Consider the following 17,528-nt stretch of genomic DNA (forward strand, 5'->3'; position numbering starts at 1 on the left):
TGGTGAATCTACTAACTATGGATTTATTTTTCTATTCAAAGTAATGTTTCCTACAAAGTAAAGTTTGCATTCATTTTTTAACTTACAAAAATGTAGCTACAGCTGGGTGCAGTGACTCATGCCTGTAATCCTAACAGTTTGGGAGGCCGAGGTGAAAGGCTCGCTTGAGCCCAGGAGATCAAGACCAGCCTGGGTATTTAGCAAGAGCCTGTTTTTATAAAAATTTTAAAAATTAGCCAAGCACAGTGGCACATATCTGTAGTCCTAGCTACTCGAGAGGCTGAGGCGTGAGGATTGCTTGAGCCCAGGAGGTTGAGACTGCAGTGAGCTAAGATCATGCCACTGCACTCCAGCCTGGGTGACACAATGAGATCCTGTCACACACACAAAAAAACGTAGTTACCATGATAGTATCAAAGAACCAATAAGTAATTCGTGAATTGTTGAATTAAGCCAAGCATTTCTGATTTATGAACAATGAGGAGACGGAACCTCCAACAAGTTCAGAATAAATTTTTAGAAGGTCTCAGTTAATCTCCTCTCAAAGACCCTATAATGCCCAAATATAATTAGGTTGCATTCTTATTGCACTATTACTATTTTTTGTGTTAATTTGATTCATTATGATTGACATAGTGGTTGGATGGGCAAGGTTTTATTAAATCACCAAATGGCCAGGCAGATAGGCTGTCAAGACTATTAAAATAAGTATCTTGATTCTTCACCTGACTGATTCCATTCAGCTAAAGGGCCCAGCTCAGAAAAACCTATATCAGACCATGAGGAAAAGGCAACATCCCTCTGATAGAGACCCCCAATTCTGAACTGTGGGGTATGACCCATTCCTTGAGCCTCATTCTATCTAGTTCTTACTCTCCTAAAGCCTGATCTTACTTTTTCTTCTGTAGTCATTCATGTTTTCCTTTGTGGAACAGATGATTTCCTTGGCTCTTTTCCACAGTCTTCTGCTTCACCTGCCTCAGGTTCCTCAGGTTGGTCCCCTTGAGTAATGGACTATATTGTCCAACCCAGCCCACAAGACCATTACACACACAGTTTATCCCTGCCTTGTGGTTTCTTCACCCTTTTACCAGGAACTGTAGCATTGATTGAGGACTTAATCCCTAGAACAGACTGTAGCAATGGCAACTAGCCACAGCCGTGGAATTGCCATTGTATCTCTTAGATTTCTTAGCAGTATTCAGATGTTGGGACAGCCTGTTAGTTCTCTCTGACCTCTTTGAAGATACTCTTTCCAGTTATTATCTACTGGACAATGTTGAATTTCCTACTCCTGATGACTGATCTGCCTGAATATTTTCTCCTAGCATCTCTAGCTGGCCCTTAATTCAGCATCTCTTCTGCTCTAATTACAGATTGAGTTGCCTCTCACTTTGCCTATTTGACTACAACTAATGGGTCCTTGCTACAACATGTTGTGGATCATGCTAGAAAAGGCCATGGGTTGGAGAATTATTAATATCCTTTAAAGTGGCAAGATTAAGTGGTAAACACATGATTGCTGTTAATTTAACCAGACTAACTCTTATTCTTTGAAAGCCAATACAAAGTCCCTATGACATAACTGTTATGTCAACGAATTTCCAATATCAGCATTTAATCTGTGATTGAATTCAATATTGAATTCATATTCAATCCATATTGAAATGGTTACTCAATTTATTAAATTGGTACATTGATTTGGTAAATTATTGAAATTGTAACTTTATTATGTTTTAAGTTAGTTCATGAGTGGGTGGAAGTGAGGGGAGAATTGTTAAAAAATATGCTGCTCTGGAAATCATCCTAGAAAATATATTCTCTCTTTTTGTGAGATATACAGCATGACTATAAAATAATTGTAAGAACCAAACAAGATCACAGACTACTGCATATTCAATCTCAAAATGAGATTTTGATTAAATTTCTAGAGTCATATACTTTATATCAGTTGCAGAGCTGGGACCAGACCATAACAGCTGTTTGACAATGGAGTAAAAATAAATTTCAAATTGGATTAACTTGCTAATAACCTTTGCTATTTTAGAGACATGGACCTGATTGTCTAGTGTAACAAACATGCTTTACAGCATATATACTAGATAAGAGTAAAACTCAACAGGACCTGCGCTAAAGCTAGAAACTCAGATGAACACTAAGGTATGAGGCAAACTCTTCATTTGCTAAAGTCATCACAGAATGCATCTATGCAGGACAGAGGCAAAATTTTAGATCTCTTGTCCTCCAAGAGATTTGAGATAAATCAATGCATATATTAAGGGGGACACTTAAAGAATTGCTTTGATTTATTTTCAAAAAGGTAAATTAATAATCCTTATTCCCACCCCAAAACATACAATGATTTGATGTGCATATACCTCTATCCCATCTATTTACATAAAGAATCATCCACACCTTAAGGTACACCTGTCATCTGCCCATTAGTGAATCACCACTGCATTAAGAAGCGTTCAACACCCAATCTTTCTAATGTTGTTAGACAACCTTGACCTTCAATTTCTTGCACTGTGAATAATATTGCATCATATCTACACAGAACAGTGTAATCATCTTTTCTATTTGCAGCACTAAGACAGTCAACAGTATTTGATACAATCAGCATGTGTCTTGATACGGAAGGCACATGGTGACAAGCCTAACTGAATGTAGTTATTCGGCTGTCATGAAATGCACCTTATGGTGATAAACTTCTGCCATAAAATTGGAAGACTATCACATAAACATGTTTCACAAAGAAATACACTAGCAGAATTCACTGCCGGGTTATTGTTGGAAAACAGTGTTCTATTTATTGTGTAGCGATTTTTACAGTATGTGTCAGTGTTTGGATGCTCATTACGTTTTACAATGAAGTAATTACCGGGTGGTGATTTCTTTATTCTGGACAACAATTCTATCTAATTAGTGAACAATAAATTGAAGCGGTTAGATTAGGGAAATTTGAATAGACATAGCAGGACAGGCGGATTTTCAGTTTGTGGAAGCATCGACTTGTTTAAATTTAGGCTCCCAACTACATACACATTTTTCTATGTCATGGTAAATTATTTTTTCCTATACACCAATTCTTTTATTTCAGTCTTTGCTTCCTCTCTGTCTCTATCTCTCCTTCTTTTTCTAATAGTATTGCAAAATTAACTAAAAAAAAACCATATTAATGGTGTTGATTAGGTATTTGAGATATACTGTTGAGGCTAGGTATAGGTGCATAATCATCAAATACTGTACTTACTAGACCCTAAACTGAGAATATAAAACTTATTTAAATACATTTGTCTTTATTATGACCCAGGGAATGACACTCATATTCCAATGCCTGCTCTCTAGCCATAAAGGATGGCAGAAAGAGCTGCTCATGGAATCTTTGTACTAGGAAACCAGCTTCATTGGTTTTACTGAGGAAGGGTCTTAAGATGTCATTTTCTCTTCACAGACCTAGGAATTCTCTGTATTTATCTGTCCCAATCATTATCACATATCTTGAATGTCTAGTCTTGATGTTTTTATAGATACATGCCTTGAAAAATAGCCCAAACCACCTCCAAATTCCACATATAGTAATGATAGATAATGTTTTTAAAAAAGAAAATTTTAAAAAGAGAAAACCATAACCAGATCCAAATTAAGATGAGTAACTTTGGGGGCTTCAGGAAGCCAATCCAGGCTTTCCACCAGTCCCTGACCTGTTGGCAGTATGACTGATCTGCAGAATTCTCAGTAACCTCTGAGATGGTAGCCAAAAGGTGCGGATGTGAGAGCTCTTTCTTAGGGAATGAGGGGACAGGTGAAGACATTTTCAAAACTGCCAGGCAGAAAGGAGTAAAGGCTAGAATGGAATTGATGGGTGGGAAAAATAAGAGAATGGAAAAGGATATAGCTGGCAAATAATAATCAGAAGAGTATCAATGCAGCTATATGAACTCTGACAAAAATAGATTTTAAAGCAAAACAATTGCTAGGAACAAAAAGGAACATTAAATCATAATAAAAACAGCAACCCACCAAGACTGTATTACCATCATAAATGTATATGAACCTAATGACACAGCCTTAAAACATATAAATCAATCACTGACAGTTATATGTAGAAAATGAAAAACATACAATCATTGTAGGAGGTTTTAACACTTGGCTATTGGAAACAGTATAGAAAAAATATAAGGATATAGACAAAGTATAGAGATTTTTAAAATCTTGAGAGTTAATTTAAAGCGGGCAAGCTCTACTCAGCTTTAGAGTTTTCTTGCCAGAAGGAAATGCAGGCTCAGTACGGATAGAACATCAGATTTCTCAAGAGAAGTTTAGAATCGGGATTTTTCAGTAAGATATTGCTGGAAGTGCGACAGTTTAAGACTTCAATGTAATGACAGTGCAGACCACACAAACCAGGTCCTTGGGCAGGGTTAGGATGTGAGTAGCCTAATGTCTATCTTTCCCATAAAACTGTACATTTTTTTAGGTCAGAAATTATGTCTATTTCTCCATGGCTATGTCTTCAATGGTGGTTTGAGGATTAAATGAGGAAAAGCATTCAAAGTAATACTGAATTTGATTCTTGCAAATTATCTCATTGAATGCTTTATACATATACATATGGTAGAAGTTTCTGGTAATACACAAGAGAACAAATGAAAATGTACACACACTCTCTCCCCTGCAAGTGCCAGGCCTTTCTAATAACTTGAAGAGAATCTCATTCTTTCCTGCTTCTCCAGTGCCTAGTCCATTAGTATTTGAATAATGAATAAGTAAATAAATGGGTAACTATGTTTGTAATTCATCTTCATGGTAATTATAACTCAAGGGAAAAATATTCATTCTGCATTTACCATGTGTCAGACATTGTGGTTGCTTTTTATATTAATTTATTAATTCCTATGACAACTACAATGGTGCCCATTTTACAGATGAGGAAATCTAGTATCAGAATATGAATAAGATTAAATATAACTCATGGAAGCTTCCATGACTTACAAGTAGTAAAGCCAAGATGGAACCCTTTCTTCTGAAAGCCTTTTAATACATCGTGTATTTCATAAAGAGTTTTCCAGTTAATAAGAAGGGAAATGCTGACTGAGGCAAATGTAAGACTTTTTGTAATCTCAACTGCTTACCTGGCATTTTCAGTAAGACTTTATTCATTTATTCAAAACTCAGCAAATATTGAGCATGAACTGTGAGTGTTGCACTCTGCTAGGCACTGGGGGTATAGCAGTAAACAAGTCAGAGAAAATCCCTGCCTTTGTTGTATACCTATATTCTAGGAGTTTATATTTGAAGAGAAGAAACAACAAATAAATATGAATAAGGAATATGAAACAAATATTAATATAACAAATATGAAAATAAATATATATATAATTTTAATATTTATAAGAGCTATGAATAACAGTAAGCCAGAGTCAAAACATATAGACTGATGGAGATGCTTTTTCAGGAAGGGTAGTGAGGGAAGTCTTTTCTGGGAATAAGGGATTCTTGTGAATATTAGGAGAAAGACAGTTCCAGAAAGAGAGAAGAGCAGTTAGCCAAAAAAAAAAAAAAAGTTTGTTGGTTCAAAAACTAGAAAGCTGGAGTTGGGTGAGTCATGGGGAAAATGGGAGAAACTGAAGTCAGGGATGTGACCATGGGCTGGATCCTATAAGACCTTGTGGGCCAGAGGAAAGATTTAGGATTTTATTCAGTGCGATGGGGAGCCACTCTGGGGTTGAGAGCAGGAAAGTGATGTGATCTGATACACATTTTGAAATTATCCTTCCAGTTGCCTCATGGAAATATGACATAGAAGGCTAATACAGGATTCTCATTCTCCACACAGTTTGGTCTCATTTATGTGGATCTGTTTTATCTTTACCTATTACTAAAATTTCAGAAAGACTAGAAGCCAGAACACTAATAAGAAGTCTTAAATAAATCCCTTAAGCAATCTGTAAGTTTTCTCACCTATAAAATGAGTATAATAATACTTGCTAAGTGTTCTTTGCAATATTTTGAGATGTTGAGACAGAGGCAGATTTTGAGACAGAAACTAGTGAGAGAATGTTTATTAGGAAGTGCTCTTGGGATCAATCCCTATGCAAGGAAGAAGAAGAAAGCAGAAATGGGCAAAGGGAGAAGTTGAGATGCAATGTGTTCTTAACAAAGGCCTCAATTGACCCATAGGGACCTCTTGAGGTAAAATACCATGTCGGAGATTTCCCAAATTAGGGCAAGACGGCCAGGCTTCTTCATGTACCAGTCACAAGGCAATCTCTAAAATAGTTGACAGCTGAAGGTATCTGCTGGGATTTTTTTCCCAACAGCTGGTGGAATGAGTCCTTTAATCCTGAAGGAAGCATCTGAGTAGCATATCACAGCATTTACCACATGAAGTGACTTGCCCAAGGTTACAAATTATTCGGCAGAGCAACTGGGACTTGGACCCAGTCTCAGACTCCTGTTCAATATTCTTCCTGTTCCCACTTAGCCTCTTGTTCATTACTTCTAGTAAATTTCATCCCACAGTCAAATTTTAAAGCCCTTTCACCATTCTCCATTGGAGAAACTCTTACCCAGAATGCTAGGAAAAAGCACTTTCTTGAATATTGTCTAAGGCTTTTTGTGTAGATTGTTAAATATCCTGCTACTCTTGCACAAGACCAAATAACACCTGCAATTGGAAAAAAGAACCTAATATTAAATTCCATTACTCAGGTCAGGAGCACAGCAGACATAGAAAAGGTTCAAAAAGGGGCAATGAAAAAGAATTGAGCCATAACAGAAGTATATGGAGTAATGAGTTTAATTTCCCAAATTCTCAATTCCCCCCTCCGTTCTAAGCATATTTCTTTTTATGCAATTTAGCTATAATTTCAGGGTAGCCTTCCAGTGTATTGAACAAGAACTAATTAGTGTGTTTAGATCTTTTATGTGCCTTATCTGTTAATTGCAACTTTTGGAGTTTTTCTTTTCTATGCAATTTGACCAAAGCTAAACTATCTTTTGAAAGACTACCCTTGAAGATAAAGTTCTTTGTTGCCAAGGGAGGTCATGCAGATTTTTGATGGCAGCCAGGAGCAAAATAAATGTTTTTCCCATTTTAGTCTACAACAGTCATTTTTCAAGAAAAACCATGTTGTCTAGCTGGGGTGGAGATTGGACTAGACCATGTTCATGTTCCTTTTATCAGCATTCAGTCAACTTTCCTATTCTGGTTTTCTGTGGCACCCCGAATCAGGGATCCTCCACATCAAAAACATAGATATCACAAATAATAATGTTGGCACTATGGGAGGCTATAATCTCATAAATAGTCAAACAGTCAGTGTGCATTTGCTACTAAGTACTGTAGTAGACATTGCTAGAGTTCTCCAATATATGGCTCTCCTTATCATCCTTGTAGCTGGATGCCATGTAAGGATTTCTGGCCAATAAAATATTAGCAGAAGTGATGCATCTCATTTCCCAACAAGCTTTGCCATTGTGTTCTCAGAGTACATGCTCAGATTAATGGCTTTCTTGCGCTGTTGGTTTATGAAGCAGAGGATCATGTTTCCTCATCTTTGTAGCCTCTGAACTTAGTGTAAGCCCAGGTTATAGTCAGTATTCAATAAAAGTCCATTGGACAATGAATCAATGACCCAATGTCTCCTGTGGGGACGTTACACAGGTGTTTTGCATTCAGACTATTTTCAGTTCTTTTTTTTTTCTTTGACAGGGTCTACTTTGTTATGCAGACTGGAGTGCAGTGGCTAGATTATACCTTGCTGCAGCCTCCATCTCCCAGACTCAAATGATCCTCCTGCCTCAGCCTCCTGAGTAGCTGGAACCACAGGCATGTGCCACCATGCCTGGCTATTTTTTTTGTTTTTAAATGGGATCTCAATATGTTACACAAGCTGGTCTTGAACTCCTGGGCTCAAGCCATCCTCCCGCCTTGGCTTCCCAAAGTGCTAGGATTACAGGAATGAGCCACTGTGTCTGCCCCCACCCCCTTTTATATTTCATTTACCACCAGTTCTAGTTCATCCTTCACTGAGCCTCTTATAGAGAGGCAAAGAGGATGTGAATGTATCTCAGAGGAAATAACGCACAGGCTTTGGAATTCGCTTTCTCTCTCATTATTTACTGTCTCTGTGACTTGGGAAAGTTACAGCTTCCTTCAACCTCATTTATCTCACCTAGAAAAATGGGTGTTACTAGTGCTTACTTCACAGAATTTGTGTAAAGACCACATGAGACAATATATGTAAACAGCTTAGCATGATGCCTTGCACAAAATGCGTGTTGTATAATTTGTTTCATCTATTGAATCATTTGACACCTTTCCTTTCCTTCAGGTTTCTTTTTTTAACTTTTCCTCTGACCTTGACTTCTTCCTACCACTTAGTGTTTCCTCACTGTCCAGAGGTTGTCTCACCTGTTGGTGAGGCATCTAAGCCTGTCCTCTTCTGACAGTGGCCTGAGCGACAATTCTACTGTTCTCCCTTTCAAAACTATAAATAGTTGTTAGGTTAAATGGGATTAATAATCAAGTTCTTAGTACTGCTGCTAATTGATTTAACATGTTAATTACTAATCTGATATTGCTTTTGGAGTACATAAATTTTAAGAAAATACACCAACAAATCTACAGTATCTGAAACATAAAGATGTTAAAATAACAAAAAATTAGCTGGGCTTGGTGGAATGTGCCTGTAATCCCAGCTACTCAGGAGGCTGAGGCAGGAGAATCGCTTGAACCCAGGAGGCGGAGGTTGCAGTGAGCCGAGATTGCGCCACCGCACTCCAGCCTGGGCGACAGAGCGACACTCCACCTCAAAAAAAAAAAAAAAAAAAGAAAAAAAGAAAAAAGATGTTAGAATAATGATAGAATCCCAGGCAAGAGTGACTGGTTTTAGGGAGAAGTGGGGACAACTGGCCCTCAAAATTCTCATTCCTGGCTTGATTCACACCATGTAGGTAGTCATTGATTTTGTTTGTTTGGTGACTGGAGAAGGTCCTGATACCAGCAGTCCTCAACATAACCACATCTATTATAGATATATGAGATAAAAGGGCCATTGTTGTTTTGTCTATATTTTTTCATTTTATTTGCATAATTGGCATATAAATTGATAACTGTCTATTCTCAGGTAATTGCCAAGTTAAACATTTATTATTGCTGCCTTTCAGTATGTCATTTTTAAAAAATTAATTCACAGCATCCACATCATGTCATTAATGCAGATTCTCAAAACCTTAATAGAACCTGAAGCAGAGAAGACAGAAGTCATTGAGATCCTTAGGGTTAGTAAATCTTGCTCCATTACACTATATGTGTACCAAATAAAGCATACCTTCCTTCCTTCAACAGAAACAAAGGAAATTCCACTGTCCCATGCTTACCTCAGTCCTCCGTCTAACCCCCCAGGATGGATGTCTTTTGCATGCCCCTCCACACCAATCTCTGCCTTCTCCACCCTGGCAGCCTGTGAGGCTGCCCCACATGAATATTGTCAAGGAATTTCTTTGCCTTCTGGCTTCAATTCAGTCAATAGGAAACACAGGAAGGCTTTTGAATGATGAGAAGAAAGTGAGGTTGGAGCATTTACTTCTCTAACTGCCTCCTTGCTGAATGGCTAGGGTTGACTGCATCCCTCTCTGGAAGGCCATAGCTTCCATTAGGTGGTCGGTTCCATTATCTACCTCTCTAGGTATTTTAGCCGCTCTTTCTCCTTCCCACTTCAGGTCTGGAGTGCTAAAGACTCCCTCATTGTAGGTAACCCTAGGGCACTGCATCATCCCAGGCTGGCTCCCCTAAATTCTGTCTATACCTTTGTAAATTGTTCTTAAAAATCCTCTCAAATATCTCATTGTTTTTGCCAGGACCCTGACATATACTCACCAATCTGCTTTTTATTTGGAACCTGGTACTGTCTTTGGCCAGGGAATCTTCTCAGCAGGACATAATCCTTGCCTTCTGACAGAAAAAACATCCATATTTACAATTCCTGGACAAAATGGAGGGATTTTTCCTTATTTTATGACAGTGTGCTGCCTCTCTCTCTCTCTCTCTTTCTTTTTTTCTCCTTAAGAAAGTGTTATCAGTAGAAGAGCTTTCAGCTTATCCCAAGTCCAGGGTTGGAGGCGGGCTTCCAGAAAGTATGACAAATGCACAAGCATGTCAAGCTGTGACAGCCTCAATGGGCTGAGATTTCAAAAATCTTATGAAAGGGAGACTTTGAAGTGCCTTATTCAAAGGCAGCCAAAGCTTTTATCCTAAGAGGAGGAGATTCTAATGTGGCCTGATAATTAGCGGAGAGTGGGGGCCTTCATCCCCTCCGAGCAATGAGATGCCATGGCTGGAATGTGCCCTGAACCCAAATGTGATTGCACAAAGAACCTAGGTCTCATTCCTGAAATTTATAACCATATCAACCATAGTTTTATGAGATATGGCATCATTTTTTAAAAAGGCTTGAACCCTTATAGAGCTATTCAAATAACCATTGAGTCATTTGAACTGAAATAGGAGTTAGTTCAAAGTGGCAGTTCATAAATTAGAGGTGCTGTTGTTTCAAGGAGAGGGCATAAATGCCGGGCAAACAGTCCAGTGCACTGGTTACTAACAGTTATTGTTATGCTCATGACTGTGGAGGAGCAGGGGCCAAAACAGGCAGAATTTGACTTTTAATTTGACTTTAGAGCATAATTAGAGGCTATGAGGCATATATAGAAAACATAACATGTACATATTTGTTTATTCATTTATTCACTCAACATTGTTTTAAGCTTAAACTATAAGCAAAGGAGAAAAATTAGTAAATAATAAGGCAGGCCTTTATAGAGTTTCTAGGTTAATGAGGAAGGCCTCAAAACACAGGATCATGACACAGTGTGCTAAGTGCTTTTTGACAGAATGAACAGAGAACCATGGAATGTAGAGGAAAAAGGTCTTGACTGTAGGGCTAGGGAGTGTGGTTTGGGCAAAATCAGGGAAGACTTTGTTGGAAGGCATACGTGAGTGTTTCTTACAGGACAAGTTGTAGTATCTCAGATAGGTGAGGCCAGGGAGGAACTTCCCAGCAGAGAACACAGGAATGTTGCTGCTTGAAGAAGCAGTGATAATCCAGAAAACTTCATGTGGTCCTGTAGGGCTAGAAGAGGAGATTTGGGCCAGGCGCAGTGGCTCACGCCTGTAATCCCAGCACTTTGGGAGGCCAAGGCTGGGGTACCACTTGAGGTGAGGAGTTCAAGACCAGCCTGGCCAACATGGTGAAACCCCGTCTCTGCTAAAAGTACAAAAATTAGCCAAGTGTGGTGGCGAGTGCCTGTAGTCCCAGCTACTTGGGAGGCTGAGGCAGGAGAAAATCACTTAAACCCGGGAGGCAGAGGTTGCAGTGAGCCGAGATTGTGCCACTGCACTCCAGCCTGGGTGACAGAACAAGACTGCCTCTCATAAAAAAAAAAAAAAAAAAAAAAAAAAAAAAAAGCGGAGATTTGTAGAGTGGCATGGCAGAAGGTAGTGCCTGAATCTGGGAGGTATGAAACATTCAGAGATCTAGACTTTAATTCAAAGGCTGATGGCCTTAAGCTTTGGCAGGTATTCATATCACCAGGAGAACCAGTGAAAATACTGATGACTGGGCTCTACTTTTTGACATTGTGATTCAGTACATCTGGAGATTAAGAAATCTGAATTTTAAAAAGAAATCTAGGAACCGTATTTTGATACATACTGTCAAAAGAAACAAAAAGCCCTAGAAAAGACTTAAATGGAAGGTATCCCAAATAGAATATCTATATGGACAATTATTTGCCCTTTGTACTTTTCTCTAGTATTGTTTGGATTTGACCCTCCTTTTGTGAGAATCAAGGAAAGTTGAAAGGTACTGCTGAAATTCTTGAGGTGTTGCAGTGGAGATGTGACCCCCTCTAGTTGGTACCCTGAGAGCTGAGAGCTACTTCACCGTTGCCACTTATCCAATTGGTGTAGATCCCACGCAACTCCAAAGTATAATCGAATAAATTAGCAAAATCAAATACAGTATGCAATGAGATAATAAAATTGTTTGCATAAAGAATAAAAACTATCTGAAAGGGAGTAGCTGTTACCAGGAGACCAGGATGCTGAATGAGGAGAGATGAGATTTGAGCAAGCTACAAATTTCCTGGTAACTTAGGGAAAAATAGAAAATACATTGAATTATACATTTTGCATTGTTTAAGAAAAAAGGCATTCATTTTTTACAGACAAATACTTTCTGGTATTAGGTTCAAGGAGGAATTTTTAATGTAATGGCCAAGGTCAGTTATAATTTTGTAATAAACAGAAAATCTATCTCTGCTATCTGAAACTGGCTTAATTTTTAAACCTCAGATACCTGAGTCGTGAAAGATTGGGAAGTTTGTAGTTGCACCTAAATAATTTTTGAAGGGTGGTACAAAAATGTTAGCCCTGGAAAAAATACAGTGTTTTGGCTTCTACTTAGAATCACATGGACACAGGAATTTCTTTGTATTCTTACAAACAATGTTATGTCTTTGTTATTAATATAAATGAAGTTACTCTATTTAAAGTCTTGCTTCCAAGAAACATCTGAGGCAGGTGATATTAATAAAGATCAATCTCTGGATATCTTTGGCCTAATAACCTTTACTGTCTAATACACAAAACAAGTGACCCATAAGAACAGGAGATATAGGTGTATAATAAAAAGTACAAATTTTATAATGGAAAAGAGCAAAAAGAAAAATGCAATGAAAATAATATAGAGACAAAGAAAAAGAGAAAAATATGTAGAGACTTTTTTTTTAAGAGTAAGGCTTTTATGTTATAATGAACAAGCACTAAGCACCTGTAGAGAGATATCTATAAGCCTCTATAATAGAGAATGAGGTGGATGGATAGAATATTGACCTGAGAATTTAGGGAACTGAGTTGGTATTTACGTTGTCTTAGCTATGTGTGAGCATAGTTTGAAATCTGTATATATCAGTTTCATCACTTTTAAGATAAAGGGATTAATAATAATAGGTCAGGGGTCTACAACTATAGCCTAGGAGCCAAATCTGGTCTGCCACCTGTTTTTATGAATAAAACTTAATTGAAATACAACCATACTGCTCATTTATTTACATATAGTATATGACTGCTTCATGCTACAAAGGCAGAGTAGTTGCAACAGAGTACATGTGGCTCATAGACCCATAAACGAAGCTCATAATGCCTAAAATAATAATTTTCTGGCCCTTTACAAATAATGTTTGCCAATCCCTGCAATAGATGATTATATGAATTAGTGAGAATATCAATTTGGTTTCTGTAAAATTCTGGAACCAAAATTAACAGTGGCTTTTAAAAAAGATAGACATTTATTCCTCTCACAAGTAAAACCCTGAGTTGGTAGGGCAGGTTCCTTTCGCAAAGAATCACAGACTCCTTTTATCTTATGGCTTTGCCATCTTCCATGATGACTTCTCACTCAGGAAGAAGAAACGGGACAAGGAAACCTTGCTCTTCCCTTACCCAACATGGCAGTTGAACATCTACCCCCACTGACATTGCACAAGCTCAGCTTTGTAACTTGGCTGTATCTGAAAGGGAGGCTGGAAAATATATTTTTTAATCTGGATGGCCATGTGCCCAACTGAAAATTCTATTACCATATAAGAGAAGAACAAATATGGGGAGACTGACCTATACATTTCTTTCCACTTAAAATTCTATGAACATAGTGTATTAGTCTGCTCAGTCTGCCATAACAAAATATCACAGACTGGGTGGCTTAAACAACAGGAATTTATTTCTCATAGTTCTGAAGGCTGGGAAGTTTAAGATCAAGGTGCCAACAGATACAGTTTTGATGAAGGCTTTCCTCCTGGCTTGCAGACAGATGCTTTCTTGCTGTGTCCTCACATGGTGGGGAGAGAGAGCTGTCTCATGTCTCTTTTCATAAGGAGACTAACTAATCCTATCAGATCAAGATTCAACCCTTATAACTCCTTTTAGCCTTACCTACTTCCTTACTCTTAATATAGCCATGTCTAGTGTAGGGCTTCAACATATGAATTTTAGGGGACACAACTGAGTTCATAGCACAGAGTTTCCTATATGAAATTGACAGAAATAGACATGTCATGAATGCATCAATAATCAAGGATGGGACTGAGGCTCTGGCCTACACATCTAAAGGGGGATAAATATGAGCATCTTAGGATAGGGCAGTGCTTAGACTTAACATTGACAACTCAGTAGAATACATACATTTAGTTTAAACATAATTGTTTGGTAAAGTGATTTTCTTTTTTATGTGTACTATAAATTATTCTGAAATTATTGATTTGTTTCAAAAGTTTCCCTTAAAAAGCCCTTTCAAGGTAAAATCGCAAGTTGTATTGGCTTAACCTAGGCAAACCTAACCTACTTCTGCTCACGATAGTAATGGCAATGTAGGCACTTCTACAAAATGGGAACCTTGACAATAGAAAACACACGTTTAGAGTTCCAGAAAGGATTATTGCTGAAAAAGTCTACCTATAACCTTTCCCTCTGGGTGAAAAGACAAAAAGCAGTCAAACTCTTATCTCTGGAAATATGAGGTCCGTAATTTGGCATCAGGAGAATCTGTCCAGTTTTATTTGTGTGAATCATCACTCATTTTTAAATCACTCTGTATTGGGGTACTGTTTTGATAATCTGTTGCCCAAAACTTAGTGGTTTAAAACAACAGCAATCATTTCTTTGCTCAAGATTTTGCTATTTGAGCAGGATTCATCAGGCATAGCTTAGGTCTGGAAGGTCCACTTTCAAAATGGCCTCACTCACAGGGCTGGTAAGCTGTTGTTGGCTCAGCTGGAGCTGTTAGTTGGTGGTCTCAATTCTTTTCCATATGGGCTTCTTCGTGTGGCTCCCTGAGCTTCCTCACAGCATAGTAGCTAGATTCCAAGAAGAAGCTGCCAGTCTTCTGAAAGCCTAGGGTCAAAACTAGCACAGCATCACTTTTACTGTATTCTATCAGTCAAAACATGACAGGGCCTAACCCGTAGTCAAGGGGGGAATAATTGGACTCCACTTCTTGGTGGGTACAGAAACAAAAAACTTACAGCTGTCTTTAATTTACCAAAAGTACCAAGAAGCCGTATACATTATCCTAGATCTGTAGTAAACAGGTGTTTTGATAGTTCTTTTTGTGAATCAGTTTTTGGAATTCAGATCACTTTTCCCAAAGAAACCATTTTGCAAATGGTACTTAGAAATATATTAATAGTTTAGCTTATAGTAGGTAATAATAGCAAAAGGTTAGGACAATAGTCTTTGACATCAGATAGTCTGGGTTTCAATTTCAAGTCTCATCTGAGTAAATTATTTGACCAATCCAAGTCCTAGTTTTATCCTCTGTACAATGGGGATGTTAATAATACTCATGAGAGTTCTGAGGATTAAATGAGAGAATGTACCTAAAGCACTTAGTGCAGACCCTAGCATTTATAACATGCCCAATAAGTGTAGCTCTTATTATTTTTACCCAATGAAGATTTATATGACAGCACTGAGCTATCATATAAAGAACACTGAGCTCTCTTTAAACCCAGAGCCCATACACTTTGAAGCTATCTTACATTATAGCCTTTATTTACTATGAGTTCTACAACCTGCGTCTGTCCAAGCAGAGCCAAAGGATAATACATTTGGCTGGCAAGAGTTTCTGATGATAGCACTTCCCTTGACTGGGGAGAAAGAGCATGAGAACGTTGTATGGAATTGGTATACACAAATGGAATATTAGTAAGCAGGTGTTGCCTACACCAGTGTTTCTCAGTCGTTTTTTCATTATCATTTCCCTCCCTAATAAACCTTTTTTGACATTTTTTCCAACTGCTACCCCATAATATTTTAATATCTCACATATGACATATATCTGTTTATATGCTGTATGTATATCTCTCTCTGCTTTATGCATTAAAAGAAGTATTTTTTTCACCCCTGCCAAAACCGATTTTCACCCCTATGAGGGCAATATTGACGCTTTTGAAAACGCATTGCCTAAACCACGTAACCTAACCAAACTCCTAAAATTTATTTTGTCACATAATCAACAACTTTATTGTTTTTGTTTGTTTGTTTGTTTGTTTTTTGCAGAGGAATGTCTCAAACAGTGGGGGTATGAAGAACATATATAAGATGGATCTACTAGGTAATGTTCATTGCTGTCTTTATAACAAAATTAATTATATAATTCATTGTATAATTATTGTTTAATATCTTTCTTAATTGCAAGCTCTGCAGTAGCAGGAACATGTCTTGGTTATTGTTGAATGGTCTCTGATGCACAGTAGATGATCGATATTTCTTGAATATTGATAAGGACTTTAATATCTAATAGGGAAAAGAAGGTAAGACATGTAAAACCAAAAGTATTCATGAGCTTATTTTGAGTTATGTATGAGGAGTAGCAAGATGCATAAAGAATTGAGACAGTCAAGGTCAGTTCCCTTTACTCAGCAAGGCTTTAACGGTTACCTTCAGGATCAGCTTTCTAGACCCAGGTTTGAGGGTGGAATCTTGTCTTGTTCATTATTAAATGTTACAGAAGTCTTAACAGAATGCTTTATAAGTGGAGGTTTAATACTGCTTTTGAATTATGACTTAATAGTTAAGATAGGAAGCAAGTCTTAGAAGAAACAAAGGTACAATTAGTCTGCTTATTATTTTCTTCTTCCTTTAGTTAAAAATACATTAAGGATGATCTATGTTTAGATCTTTTGCAGAAACTTTTCCTAAGGACACATTTTATATTTGAAGAAAAGGTATTTTTGACATTAATATTTTCTTCAATCTAATGTTAGCTTCCTATATTTCTTTTCTCCCTTCAGTTCATCTAAAACATTACAATGCTTTTCTCCTTTTTATTTTATAAAATAGACTCTACAAACCCAATTATAACTCCCTTAGAAGACAAAAGGACTGTAAGGAAATAAAAAACAAGAATGATTTGGATATATCAGTTCTCTTTTTTTGTTACATTTTGTGGCTGCCATGGGAAACCTATAAAAGCTTCAAGTCTGATTTTGGTGGATAAATTCCCAACAACCTCTTCCTTCAAGGAGTGATCAGTATTATGGACAAAAGGAGGGTATTTTTTTCAATATGTCCTTTTGATTTTATTTTGTGCGGCAACCACCTTTGTAAAACACACTAACACGTCAGAAATATGAAACTGTCTTCAGTTCACTGCCCTGTAAAAGACGTGTGGCAAAAAATAAATAAATAAATAAATAAATAAATAAACAAACCCAGGAATGCCTGAGTAAGTAATTTTATTTTTTATGATTCAAGCCCCAAAAGGTCTTGAACTGTCAGATTTATTGTCTATCCGATTTTATGACTTTTAGTTGTATTTATTCTTTGATGTTTACCATCTACTGTGCCTACGTGTGCCGTGGTCTGTGGGCTTTCCTATTGCTAAATCATTTTTTAAGCTTTAGTTGTAGCTTCTGTTCAGCATCAATTCCCCGAGACATGCCATTAACATGAATCATTTTTG

At 37.4% G+C, this 17,528-nt stretch overlaps 1 annotated feature.

The window, feature by feature from the left end:
* Positions 12,221-12,390: an enhancer, noted in NCBI's record as "experimental_68988 CRE fragment used in MPRA reporter constructs". NCBI's record gives its function as "activates a minimal promoter by MPRAs in K562 erythroleukemia cells, with activity observed for the non-introgressed 3:24799913 variant allele {active_cell/tissue: K562}" and the evidence as "EXISTENCE:reporter gene assay evidence [ECO:0000049][PMID:34662402]".

This window comes from Homo sapiens, chromosome 3 (assembly GCF_000001405.40).
Source record: "Homo sapiens chromosome 3, GRCh38.p14 Primary Assembly".
Lineage (NCBI taxonomy): Eukaryota > Metazoa > Chordata > Mammalia > Primates > Hominidae > Homo > Homo sapiens.